A 13,899-nucleotide genomic window follows, 5' to 3' on the forward strand; every position below is an offset into this window, starting at 1 on the left:
ATTTCCATCTCTAACCAGTTTGCAGGTGATGCTGAGGCTGCTGGACCAGGGACCACATTTCAGAACCACTGTGGTGCATAATCTAGATCCTGTGCCGTATGGCTGCATGGTGGCCCTTCAGACCATTCTTCTCCATTTTACATTTTATAATGATGTTTTTTGCTGCTTTTGAGAAAAGAAGAGATTATAAATCAGCTGGGAAACATTTATTTGCCCTAAATATGAAACACATTTCTCAAGACTTATGATCTCTCATGTCTTATTTTGTATTCAACTATAAAGAATCTTGGGAAGACAGTTGTGAAAATGTCTTGGATCCTTTCCTCAAATTTCTAGTGGATTTTATTCAGTTTCCTAAAGTAATGACTGTATATATTTTCTAAATACATAGCTTCAAATTCTTATAAAAGAGTGAATTAATTTCCAGTTACAAAGACATATTTGAATGATTTAATTTCTTATTGGATGTGACATTTCTATTGTCAGAGAAAATGGATCAGGCAATAAATCAAATATATATTTTAATGTTTATATTTCCTTACCACCCTCAAAATGCAGGAGGAACCAAGGAAAGGCAAAGAAAAAAGTGACTAAGCTCTGTGGCAACATGGACAGATGTAAGTCAAAGCAAGACATCCATAAATCTGGAGGGTTCTTTTTGTAGGGGAAAGAATCTACCATTCTGATATGACTGGGTTTAACTCTACATTGTAGTTATTCTTAAACGTACAAGCAAATCTTAAGAAAGCAAGCTGAGGCAAAGAAATAACTCATAAATTTTAGCCAAAATAATATGTTTTCAATTCTAAGTCAGTTCACAGCCAAAGGAATTAGGAAGGGAAACAAGTTCTTAACTTGATGCAGACCACCGCCATCTTGGAAAATGGATTGAGTAGCTAGATCTGGACCCATGACCCCAACCTAGCTGGATCAGGACATGCTTCTTGGTGGTGTTCTAGGCATAATACCTGAGACTGGATTTATTTCAGTTACTTAGAAAATGTTGCTTTAAATTGTCATCTCCTCCTAAACAACTCATGGTGCTATTGTCAGGAGGAAATGAAGTCCGAGAGTTGAAGTCTCGTATTATTAATATAAGCACAACAGTGGTACACATGACAGCCGGGTGTGGGAAGCAGCCTTGGTTTCAGTGGATCTTGGATTACTCCAGAGCAGATAACTAGGATACTTTTAACTGGAAACAGTGTTCTTCCAAATGTTATCACCCATAACTGGAGATAATGAGATTTTATCCCTAGCTAGCAAGAGCCCTCATGACTTCAGTGCAGCCACTGTGCTCACACTCTTGTCAGGACATATCTACCCCATTTTCCTCCTTGATATAATTATTAGGTCCCTTTCTGTACATATAAAAACATCTCCTTGCATGTTTAAAACAAAACTCACTCTGGTAGTGTTAACTTTCCATGCAGAGCAGAACATTTATAAATGTGTGTCTGCAGAAACAAACAAACAAAAACTTCTCGCTGTAAATAGAACAAAAAGAGGAAAAATGTTGTGGAAATTTTACTGCTGCCCGCTATTCTGTTTATATTCAGGCAAGGCAATTTTATGAAATGCGTAGAGTCAGATTCAGGGTTGAGTTTGAATTGACGTGATCTAAATGCTGGCATGGTATCCAAAAGCCAAATCTGTATCATCTAGTTTTGATATCTGGAAATGTTCGCATGATCTTTTTGACACTTAAAGGACATTAATATTACATTGCTGATGTCAGTATTCAGAAAAAATAGGATTACCTAGGCCTTTGGAATCTTCTCACTAAAGGAAGGTATTTTCCAGCTCTTTTAAGTGAATTCTAAATAATATATCTGCAAATCTGAGGACAGTCTGCCTTCCGTTACAGTGCCAGGCCAAGTCTTCTAAAATCCTTAGATTCTGTGGTTAAGGAGAAATTCTCTCCATGACACATTTTAGTTGGCAATATCAAGATAAAAAGATGCCATTTTGTGTACACGGGCCTGTCTGGTAGAAGGACTTACCAGCTGCAAGGTTTATTTGAACTACAGGATGTCTTTTTTTTTTTTTAAAGTCATGTGCTTGTTTTTGTTTTTGTTTGAGATGGAATTTTGCTCTGTCGCCCAGGCTGGAGTGCAGTGGGTGCGATCTCGGCTCACTGCAACCTCCGCCTCCCAAGTTCAAGTGATTCTTCTCTCTCAGCCTCCCAAGTAGCTGGGATTACAGGTGCTTGCCATCACGCCCGGCTATTATTTGTATTTTTAGTAGAGATGGGGTTTTACCATGTTGGCCAGGCTGGTCTCGAACTTCTGACCTCAGGTGATCCACCTGCCTCATCCTCCCAAAGTGTTAGGATTACAGGTGTGAGCCACCATGCTTGGCTATGTACTTCAAGTAGATTGGTACTTGAACTTCAAGTGGATTGGTAGATTCTAGTACCTTCTAGAAAGCATGCTTATTTTATCTGAGTACCGGATAAGGAACTTATTAAAATGGTACACTACAAGTGCCACATAAGTATTAGAAATTATTTATTTCCAGAAACTACTTTGTGCCACTTTAATGTGTAGCTGTGGCTTTAAGAGATCACTCTTAAGGAGTTATTTAATAATTACCACACGATGTACTCTTAACGTAGTTTTAAAAGTGACCTATCTAAGGACTGAGATTAGAGACAGAAATGCAGGGTCTTTTTCATATTTGATGTCTTCAGCATCTCGCACAATGACAAATACTTTGCTGAGATTGGATGTATATTTGCTGATCAAAGAGGTGGATAAATGAGCCAATAAGAACTTTCTGTTTAAGAAGACTGCTTTCTCTCCTAAATAAAATACATCTTTAGTTAATCTTGAAAACACCTATTACTTTAAACCATAATGTGTAGGGAAAGTAGCTGAGTGCTGAGCCAATTAAAGTGGAGGACTGTTGAGTGAGGTTGTTCTCTGTGATGGCCTCCCACAGAGCCAGTGGGGCATTGAGTTGTGTAAGTAACTGACACACAGAACAAGCTCATGACAGTTTTTTTGAAATCACAAAATGGAGGTGTGTTGTCTAGCTTCAGGGACTTCCTGATGACTGCTTAGCACCAAGTGTCTAAGGAGGTGAGGATGAAAAAGGAAATAAGTGGGCCTATCACATCAGCAAGAATCAGTGTGTCGGGGTAGAGGAGACCTGTAGATTGAAGTGTCAACCCTGTCTGTCTGTCTGTCTGTCTGTCTGTCTGTCTCTGTCTCTGTCTGTCTCTGTCTCTACCCCAACCCCTCCCCGCCCTCTGTCATTCTCTCTCATATCAGTATGTGTATAATGGATATCCCAGAAAAGAGATAGAAAAATAAGAGGGTAAATAAATATTTGAAGAAATAGTGGCAACATTTTCCCAAATTTGGGAAGCTTAACAAACTCCAGGTAGGATAAACATAAGATATTAACAACTAAACATGTCATAGTCAAGCCAAGACAGTGAGAAAATCATGAAAACAGCAAGAGAAAAATAACTGTACAAATGTACAGGGGAAGCAGTAATGTGATTAGCAACTGACTCCTCATTATGAACAGTGGAAATTAGCAGGCAGTGAATGACATATTCAAAGTGCTAACAGAAAAATCTGGCAAGCAAGGGTTCCAAAAACTATCCTTCAACAATGAAAATAAAATAAAGTGATAAACAGATAAACAGGGCCTGAGAGAACTGATATCAAACCTGCTTTCCAAGAACAGACAGGAATGCAAATCCACAGGAAGGATTAAAGAACATCAAAAATGGTAAATTTGTGGATAAATATATACATTTTTCTTTTCTTCTCTTATTTAAAAGACATAGATTGTTTAAAGCAATAATTATAACACTTTATTGTTGGTTTTATAATGTACATAGATGTAATAGCACATATATATGCCATATCTGCATATGTCAAATTATATCAATATATAAAACATAAGTATATTCAATATAAATATATAAATAGCATCTAAAAATATAAGTAGGGAGAAGAAAATAGAGCTATGGTGCAGTAAAGTTTCTGTGTTTTACCAGAATTATGAGCATTAGCATAAAGTAGATTGAGATAAATTAAGATGCCTATTGTAATCCCTAGAGAACCCACTAAGAAGACAATTCAAAAAGTGCAATTAAATATTTTCTTCATTTGTTTTGATTGTTTATTTGGGTGTGAGTGGTCATGACTGCTAAGTTATCAATGTGGAATGGCATGTTTGCCTCATTTAATGTCCTTTGTCTTCAGTTTCCCATTGCCTGATATTAAAGTCTCTGCATTCTCTTTATTTAATTTGCCATGTATGAATCACCCTGTCCTCTTATTTTTCAAGTTTATGAGTAACTTTGTTTTAGGTGTGTTCTTTATAAATGATTTTACTTTCTGATCCAATGTGAGTATTGTTTTCTTATAATGGCACAGTTATCTCACATATTTTGGTTATTGACATAATACACTAAGTCATTTTTTACCTTATAATTGGATTTATATTGAATTCCCACTTTGAAAAATGAGGAAATAAGTATAATTCGACACCTCACCTCCCTATCCTTCCTTCACACCTAGGTTTGGCTACCCAATATTATTGTCATATCTTTAAATAATAGGCTAATATTTCTCATATTGATTTATCAGCTTTGAACTATGTCAACTCTTTATTATAGAAGATGAGGAAACTGGCATATTTACACTCACTACCTCCTACCTTTGCTAAGGTAATTAATAAGTATATCTAATAGAGATATATAAAATTCCACACCTGAAAGCCAAGCATACATCTTGTTTTTAAGTGCCCATGATTAGTTTCCAAAATTGATTAGCTACTAAGCTACAAGTAAAATGTCAATCCATAGTAAAAAAAAAATTGCAGTATCACAGCTTCTGCTCATAATACAATAAAGCTGGACATGAGAGTATCAGATCTAGAAAATTCATAGTCCTAAATACTAATGTAGATGAACAACAAAGAATAAAAATAAGTTCATGGCAGCATTTTTCATAACAGTCAAAAGGTGGGAAAAACCCATATGTCCATTAACTAATGAATGGATAAACAAAATGTAGTATAATCATACAATGAAATATTATTCAGCCATAAGGAGGAATGAAGTATTTATACACGCTACAACATGGATTACACTAAATGAAAAAAGCCAGATATATAAGGCTACTTATTATATGATTTCCTTTATATGAAAGCTCCTGAATTAACTATTTATGACTTTTCCATAAATCTATAATCCATAAATCCATAGAGATGGAAAGTAGATTAGTGGTTGCCAGTGCATGGGAGAGAGGGATAAATGGGAAGTTACTATTAATGGGTACAGAGTTTCTTTTGGGAGTGATGAAAATATTTTGAAACTAGATTGTGGTGGTAATTGCACAATTTGGTGAACATACTAAAAATCAGCAAATTATACACTTTAAAATTCACAGACTTTGTCTGTGAATTATCAGTCAGTATAAAAAGTGATATACTTCTTCCATATTCTCTTGGTCCACTCTTGATACAGTTACCCAAAGGTAAATACCAGAAGGCAGGAAGCATTTGAGGACTGTTTTGGAGGCTGGCTACCACATATATCTTTAAAAATGTATGTCCTGTTGGCCAGGCGCCATGGCTCACGCCTGTAATCCCAGCACTTTGGGAGGCTGAGGTGGGTGGATCACAAGGTCAGGAGTTCGAGACCAGCCTGGCCAATATGGTGAAACCCCATCTCTACTAAAAATAACAAAAATTAGCTGGGCGTGCTGGCGGGAGCCTGTAGTCCCAGCTACTTGGGAGGCTGAGGCAGGAGAATCTCTTGAACCCGGGAGGCAGAGCTTGCAGTGAGCCGAGATCTGCCATGCACTCCAGCCTGGATGACAGAGCGAGACTCTGTCTCAAAAAAAACAAAACAAAACAAAAAAACTATGTCCTATTATACCCTACACTTCTCCCATGTCAAATAGCTTCAACTGGATGCAGCTACTAACATCTGTATACTTAGCTCCATTCATTGGACAATCCAAGGCCACATTTCATAGCTAATTTTCTTTTTTTTTCTATTTCAAGTCTCATGTTTTACATGACTTTTCTTTTGTTGCTACCTAGTATTTATATATATATATATATATATATATATATATATATATATATATATATATATATATATATATATACTTTAAGATCTGGGATACATGTGCAGAACGCGCAGGTGTGTTACATAGGTATACATGTGCCATGGGGGTTTGCTGCACCCATCAACCCATCGTATACATTAGGTATTTCTTCTAGTGCTATCTCCTCCCCAGCGCCCCACTCCACAACAGGCCCCAGTGTGTGATGATCCCCTCCCTGTGTCTATGTGTTCTCATTGTTCAACTCCCACTTATGAGTGAGAACATGTGGTGTTTGATTTTCTGTTCCTGTGTTAGTTTGCTGCAAATGATGGTTTCCAGCTTCATCCGTGTCCCTGCAAAGGACATGAACTGATCCTTTTTTATGGCTGCATAGTATTCTATGGTGTATATGTGTCACATTTTCTTAATCTAGTCTATCATTGATGGGCATTTGGGTTGGTTCCAAGTCTTTGTTATTGGGAACAGTGCTGCAATAAACGTACGTGTGCATGTGTCTTTATAGTAGCATGATTTATAATCCTTTGGGTATACCCAGTAATGGGATTGCTGTGTCAAATGGTATTTCTGGTTCTAGATCCTTGAGGTATCGCCACACTGTTTTCCACAATGGTTGAACTAATTTACACTCCCACCAACAGTGTAAAAGCGTTCCTGTTTCTCCACACCCTCTCCAGCATCTGTTGTTTCCTGACTTTTTAATGATCGCCATTCTAACTGGTGTGAGATGGTATCTCACTGTGGTTTTGTTTTGCATTTCTCTAATAACCAGTGGTGATGAGCTTTTTTTCATATGTTTGTTGGCCACATAAATGTCTTCTTTTGAGAAGTTTCTGTTCATATCCTTTGCCCACTTTTTGGTGGGGTTGTTTGTTTTTTTCTTGTACATTTGTTTAAGTTCTTTGTAGCTTCTGGATATTAGCCCTTTGTCACATGGATAGATTGCAAAAATTTTCTCCCATTCTGTAGGTTGCCTGTTCACTCTGGTGATAGTTTCTTTTGCTTCACAGCTAATTTTCTATCCTAAATGGTGTCCTGTTTAATGAAGGTCAGTGTGATTGGAAAATTATTTTCTAACACATCATTATTTCTTACTGAGCTTTCCACTCACAAGTAGAAATTTCCATTTCTAAATGTCTCAAATACATTAAACATAGCTGTATTATCTCCAGTTGTAACAGAAATCCTGTAAGGTAGAGGTGCATATTATTGGTGGGGAAAATGAGGCTTGGAAAAGTTATATAATTTCCCTAAGGTTTCCTGGCTAGTAAGTGTCAGAGCAAGGATTCTAAGCCGTATAATAACAACCACCACAATAGTTCACATATACTGAATATTCACTGTGTGACACATTATTCTACATGATCTCCACATATTATCTCATTGAATAATCACAACAGCCTGATGAAGTAGGTACCATTAATGTTTTGCAAATGAGAAACTGAGGCTTAGAAAGGTTAACTAACATACCCAAGGTCACAAAGGTAGTGAGTGGTGGAGCAGAGACCAGAACCCAGGTCTGCTTGAGTCTTGTTTGTGCACTTAGCATTGTATCACACTGCCTCCAGAGTGGAGTAGAGCTGAGTGGAACTGAGGAAGCTTTCAGATTTTTATATATGTATGAATTTATTAATTTATGTACATATCATATATATATATATATTTGAGATGGAGTCTTACTCTATCACTTAGGCTGCAGTGCAGTGGTGTGATCTCGGCTTACTGCAACCTCCACCACCTGGGTTCAAGCAGTTCTCCCATCTCAGCCTCCCGAGTAGCTGGGATTACAGGTGCATGCCACCACGTCTGGCTAGTTTTTGTATTTTTAGTAGAGATGGGGTTTTGCCATGTTGACTAGGCTGGTCTTGAACTCCTGGCCTCAGGTGATCTGCCCACGTCGGCCTCCCAGAGGGCTGGGGTTATAGGCGTGAGCCACCACGCCTGGCCATATCCCTTATATCTTGCTCCAGAAAGGATTTGAGGTGGCCAGAGGGTCTAAATTTTCTTTCCACGAGGATATAATCAACTTATTCTCGCAAAAATAACTGACTCCAGTGTCCCATGCAAGTATTTCGCAGAAAGACTGAATTTTTCCAGATGCTATCCTTATATCCCTCTCTATATGCCTTTGAAGTTTCCGTTTAGTTGTTTCTCCTTTTTAATTCTCATTGTAATGGGAGATATTGAACAAAATCTTTGAGATCCAACTCCACCAAAATTCTATTTTGGATAAATGAAAACCTATTTTGGATATTGGATAAATGGAAACCTTATATCAAGAAAGGTTTTCATTTCCCAAAGAGGGCGCTGTGGTTCAAATTAGTGCATTTGCTAGCACTGAGTTCCTATTTGGGCTTTCTTCCTTTTGCATCCTCTGAATGAAGAATTGCAGTATAATTTAGGATTTGGAAAGTGTTTGAAGGCCTGTTCATTAATCTTGTGTAGGAACTGGACAGCTCCCTCATCAAACACAAATCAAACACAAAAGTCTGATTTTTTTTTTGGAAGAAAAGGAAACAGCTGAGGTTTCTGCATAATTAGAACAAGAGTAGCAGGCTCTCAAGAAGTGTCCACACAAAAGAATTAGAGACAGAAACAGATTTAATGAAAACTAATCTTCAGGACCACACACTTGCACAGGCCCTTTCCAAGTTCCCAGGAAGAGTTCCAGCAATGTGTTCAAATGGCCATGTGTTTCTGTAAAATTTGCCTAAGTACAGTATTTTATATTTATTTATTTATTTATTTATTTATTTTTGAGACGGAGTTTCACTCTTGTTGCCCAGGCTGGAGTGCAATGGTGCGATCTTGGCTCACTGCAACCTCTGCCTCCTGGGTTCAAGCAATTCTCCTGCCTCAGCCTCCTGAGTAGCTAGGATTATAAGCATGCACCACCATGCCCGGCTAATTTTGTATTTTTAGTAGAGATGGGGTTTTTCCATGTTGGTCAGGCTGGTCTCGAACCCCCGACCTCAGGCGATCCGGCTGCCTCGGTCTCCCAAAGTGCTGGGATTACAGGCGTGAGCCACTGTGCCCGGCCCAAAAGTACAATGTTTATTTTAACCACTGTCAGTTAGGGTTGCTCTTCCTTCTTCAACTTTTCCTTGGTCACATGCTTCCTCAGGTTGACTGCTACTGGATGGCCTTGGGCATTACTTAGATCTGACTAAGGTGAAATCAGGCTGGGGATACATTTATTTTAGGGCTTACAGAATATATTTATGTGATTTGCTGTCATTTCCATAGAGTTATGTTACTGCTAGGTGTCCTGGTGCAGAGAGGGCTTCCAGGAGTACTGCTGTTACCCAGGGAGCCAATTCATTTAGCGTCGTGACATAAAAGTGTGGGCTGACGATCTTGTTGCAATAAGGGTGTGTGTCTAGCACCAGAATTATGTGGTGCTGGTAGAACAAGGTTTGGAATGTATGGAAATAGATGCTGATCCACAGAGAATTCTTGCAGCTGTTAAACATGTAAAATTACAAGCTCAGGATTTGGTTCTCATATATGCCTAGCCAGAATAAAAGTACTCTTTTATGAGGAATATGTTCAATGAGGCAGTATATCCAGCTACAAATATACCATACATTTTTTATGGGAATCACATGAAAGACTATTTCCAGGGCATGAAACTGTAGCACAACCACAAACAACAGTTTCTGCAGATGAAGTTGCACCTTTTACACATCCCAATAACCAACCATAAAAAAATTACATCAACCGTGCTAGGAGTGTAAATTATCTTTCGCTTATCTCTATGAAAATGATATTACAAAATCATTGTCATATAAATGGATGTTCAAATCGTATGAAGCCAAAAATGTAGGGGAAAATATCACAGAGGATGGTCAGGCAATAAATGAATAAAAATACTGGATTTGTGATGTTTGTGGTATTGTCAGATTCTAAAAATTTTGTAATTTCCTTTGGTTACGTTATCATTTTAAATAAATATTCTCATTCATGCCTAATTTGTATTTGTAAATTTTTGTTCTCTTAATCCCAGTGGGCCTTCAAAATTACAGACATTTCAGACCCCACAAAACCTGAATCTTTTCCTGATTAGAGATACTTTCTCTGATAACTACAGCAGAATGGTAGAAATAAAATATACTTAAAACTTTATTTAATAATTGGAAATTTTATTTCTGAATGTCAAGTTCCATGAATTTCCTTTTTAACTCAGTTTTAGTGAGGTATAGTTTACATACAGTAATATGCAGAGATTTTAAGTATACATTTCAATGACTTTGACAAATGTGTAAACGTATGAAACTAACATCCAAATAATGATACAGAACCTTTTCATCATCCCCCCAAATTCCCTTGTACTACTTTCCAGTAACTCCACCCCCAGCTCCCCAGGCAACTGATACTCTGATTTTTTTTTTTTTTTTTTTTTGAGATGGAGTCTTGCTCTGTCGCCCAGGCTGGAGTGCAGTGGCACAATCTTGGCTCACTGTAACCTCTGCCTCCTGAGTTCAAGTGATTCTTCTGCCTCAGTCGCCCGAGTAGCTGGGACTACAGGCATGCGCCACCACACCTGGCTAATTTTTATATTTTTAGTAGAGACGGGGTTTCACTGTGTAGGCCAGTCTGGTCTCGAATGATATTCTGATTTTTATCACTAGAGATCAGTTGCCTGTTTGTGAAGTTGATAGGAATGGAATCACACAGTGCACTCCTTTGTGTCTGACTTCTTCACTCACCATATGTGCGATGGTTAATCTTATGTCAACTTGACTGGGCTAAGGGATGCCCAGATAGCTGGTAAGACATTATTTCTGGGCATGTCCATGAGGGTATCTCCAGAAGAGATGATCATTTGAGTTGGTAGACTGAGTAAGGAAGACTGCCCTTGTCAGTGTAGTTGGGCATCATCCTGTCCATTGAAAGCCCAGATAGAGCAAAATGGCAGAGAAAGGACAGATTCTCTCTTGTCTTGAGCAAGGACATCCATATTCTTCTGCCTTTGGACGTGAAGCTCCTGGTTCTCAGGCCTTCAGACTCAGACTGAATTAGACCACTAGCTTTCCTAGGTGTTTGCAGATGGCAGATGGTCGCCAAGAAATCTTTCTTGGGCTCCATAATCAAGTGAGATAATTCCGGTAGTAATAAATCTCTGTCTCTGTCTCTCTTTCTGTTGTTTCTCCGGAGAACTCTAATACAATATGTTTTTGTTTTGTTTCTTAATTTTTAAGTTTATGGGTGTATAGTAGGTGTATGTATTTATGGGGTACATGAGATATTTTTATACAGGCATACAATGCACTATAATCACGTCAGGGTAAATGGAGTATCCATCTCCCCAATATACAACGTTTTTTTGAGATATGCCCATGCTGTTGTGTAGATCAGTAATCTGTTGCTTTTTGGTGATAAGCACTAAATCATGATTTCTCTATTCTCCTGTTAAACATTTGGGTTATTTTCAGGTTTTGCTATTAAGAATAAATCTGCTATAAATATTTTTGTACAGGTCATTTTGTGAAGACTGATTTTCATTTCTCTTGGAGATATACTTAGAAACGGAATTGCTGGGTTCTGTGATAGGTGGGTATTTACTTTATAAGGAAATGCCAAAACTTTTTCCAGTGAGGTTGTACCATAAATCACTTCCGTCAGTGATTAATGAGAATTCCACTTGTTTCATATGCTCATCAGTATGCTAAGAGTTGTGAAGTGGTGTCTCATTGTGGCTTTAATTTACATTTCTCTATTAATAATAATGTTGAGTGCCTTTTCATATGTTTACTGACCATTCCTGTATCTTCTTTTATTAAGTATTCTAAATAATTTACCCATTTTTATTTGGATGGTTTGACTTATTATTGAGTTGTAGTAGTTCTTTATAAACTCTGAATGTAAGTTCTTTATAAAGTTTGGAGAGATCTATTTATCTACACATACATTATCTATCTGTCTATCTATCTATCTATCTATCTATCTGTCTATCTTGTCTGTCTACCTATCTATCTATGAATGAATCATCCATCTATCTGAAGAGAATATTTTCTCCCAGTCTGTGGTCTGTCTTCAGTGTCTTTTTTTTTTTTCCTAAAAAAAACAACCTTTTATTTTGGAATACTTTTGGAGTTACAAAAGAGTTGCAAAAATAACAGAGACAGTTCCTGTAAACCCTCCACCTGGCTTCCTCTAAAATTAATATTTTATTTTTTCCACAGATTTGGTGATTATCTGCTCATCTTATTACTGATTTCTAATTTGATTCTGTTGTGGTCAGAGAACACATTCTGTACAATTTCAGTCTTTTGAAATTTATTATGACATGCTTTGTAATCCAGCACATAATTTATCTTGTTTTCATGCATACATGAACAGAAATGTATTTTTTTGCAGTTGTTAGATGTAGTATTTAAAAAACATAAATTAGATCAAGTTGGTTAATAGTATTGCTCAAATCTTTTATATCTTAATGGATTTTTGTCTGCTTGTTATATCAAATAGAGTGTTGAAATCACTAACTATAACTGTGGAATTGTCTAATTCTTCTTTTCAATTCTGTTGGTTTTGCTGCATATTTTTGAAGTTCTGTTTCTAGATGCATACACATTTAGAATTGTTATATCTTCTTGATGAAATGACTATTTTTTCATTATGAAATGTCCATCTTTATCACTGGTAATGCTCCTCGTTTTGTTTTCTTTTGTTGGAACAGAGTTTTGCTCTTGTCACCCAGGCTGGAGTGCGGTGGCATGATATCGGCTCACTGCAACCTCCGCCTCCTGGGTTCAAGTGATTCTCCTGCCTCAGCCTCCTGAGTAGCTGGGGTTACAGGTGCGTGCCACCACACCTGGCTAATTTTTGTATTTTTTAGTAGAGACGGGGTTTCACCATGTTGGCCAGGCTGGTCTCAAACTCCTGACATTAGGTGATCTGCCTGCCTCGGCCTCCCAAAGTGCTGGGATTACAGGTGTGAACCACTGTGCCTGGCCTTACTCCTGGTTTTGAGTCTACTTTGTCTACTTTGTCTGATATTACTATAATCACTCTAGCTTTTTTTTTTTTTTTGAGACGGAATCTCGGTCTGTCGCCCAGACTAGAGTGCAGTGGCGCGATCTCAGCTCACTGCCAGCTCCGCCTCCCAGGTTCATGCCATTCTCCTGCCTCAGCCTCCCGTGTAGCTTGGACTACAGGCGCCCGCCACCACGCCTGGCTAATTTTTTTTGTATTTTTAGTGGAGACGGGGTTTCACCATGTTAGCCAGGATGGTCTCGATCTCCTGACCTCGTGATCCGCCCACCTCGGCCTCCCAAAGTGCTGGGATTACAGGTGTGAGCTACCGTGCCCGGCCCACTCTAGCTTTTTTATGATTAGTATTTACATATTTTTGCACCTCTTTACTTTCAGTGTATCTATGTCTTTATATTCAAAGTTCATCTTTGTAGGCAGAATATAGTCGAGTCTTATTTTCTATCCAGTCTGACAATCTTCGCTTTTAGTCAGAAAGCTTCTTATTGACATGGTTGAGTTTCAGCCTATCATCTTACTATCTTCTTTCGTCTATCCCAGCTGCTCTTTTTCCCTTTGTTCTTTCTTCCTGCGTTATTTCAGATTAATCAGTTTTTTTTAGCATTCCACTGTATCCCCCTTTCTCATTTTTAGCTATGCCCCTTTTAAGTGGTTACTCTAGGGTTATGGTACAGATATCCAACTCATCATAGTCTCCTGTGAGTTAATATAGTATCTCTTAACCTATAATTTGAGAACATTATAATGTTGTATTTCTTTTTTTCTTTTTTCTTTTTTTTTCTGGAGATGAAGTCTCGCTGTGTCGTCC

The 13,899-nt window shown here is 37.9% G+C and overlaps 2 long non-coding RNA genes across 5 annotated transcripts in view; one reads left to right on the forward strand and one right to left on the reverse strand.

Moving 5' to 3' along the window:
- The window catches only part of LOC105375508 (uncharacterized), a 119,688-nt gene that overhangs the window by 72,293 nt on the left and 33,496 nt on the right, over positions 1-13,899 (forward strand). The window lies entirely within an intron of this gene.
- Positions 1-13,899, reverse strand: part of LOC105375509 (uncharacterized) — a 41,820-nt gene that overhangs the window by 15,638 nt on the left and 12,283 nt on the right. The window contains exon 3 of one of the 2 annotated variants that reach the window (XR_007060529.1): positions 86-165. The exons of the other annotated variant lie outside the window; for it this stretch is intronic. This is a non-coding gene — a long non-coding RNA (uncharacterized LOC105375509). Of the gene's footprint in view, positions 1-85; positions 166-13,899 lie in introns of those variants that run through there. 2 annotated transcript variants of the gene reach the window in all.

Source organism: Homo sapiens, chromosome 7 (assembly GCF_000001405.40).
Source record: "Homo sapiens chromosome 7, GRCh38.p14 Primary Assembly".
In the NCBI taxonomy this organism is placed as follows: Eukaryota; Metazoa; Chordata; class Mammalia; order Primates; family Hominidae; genus Homo; species Homo sapiens.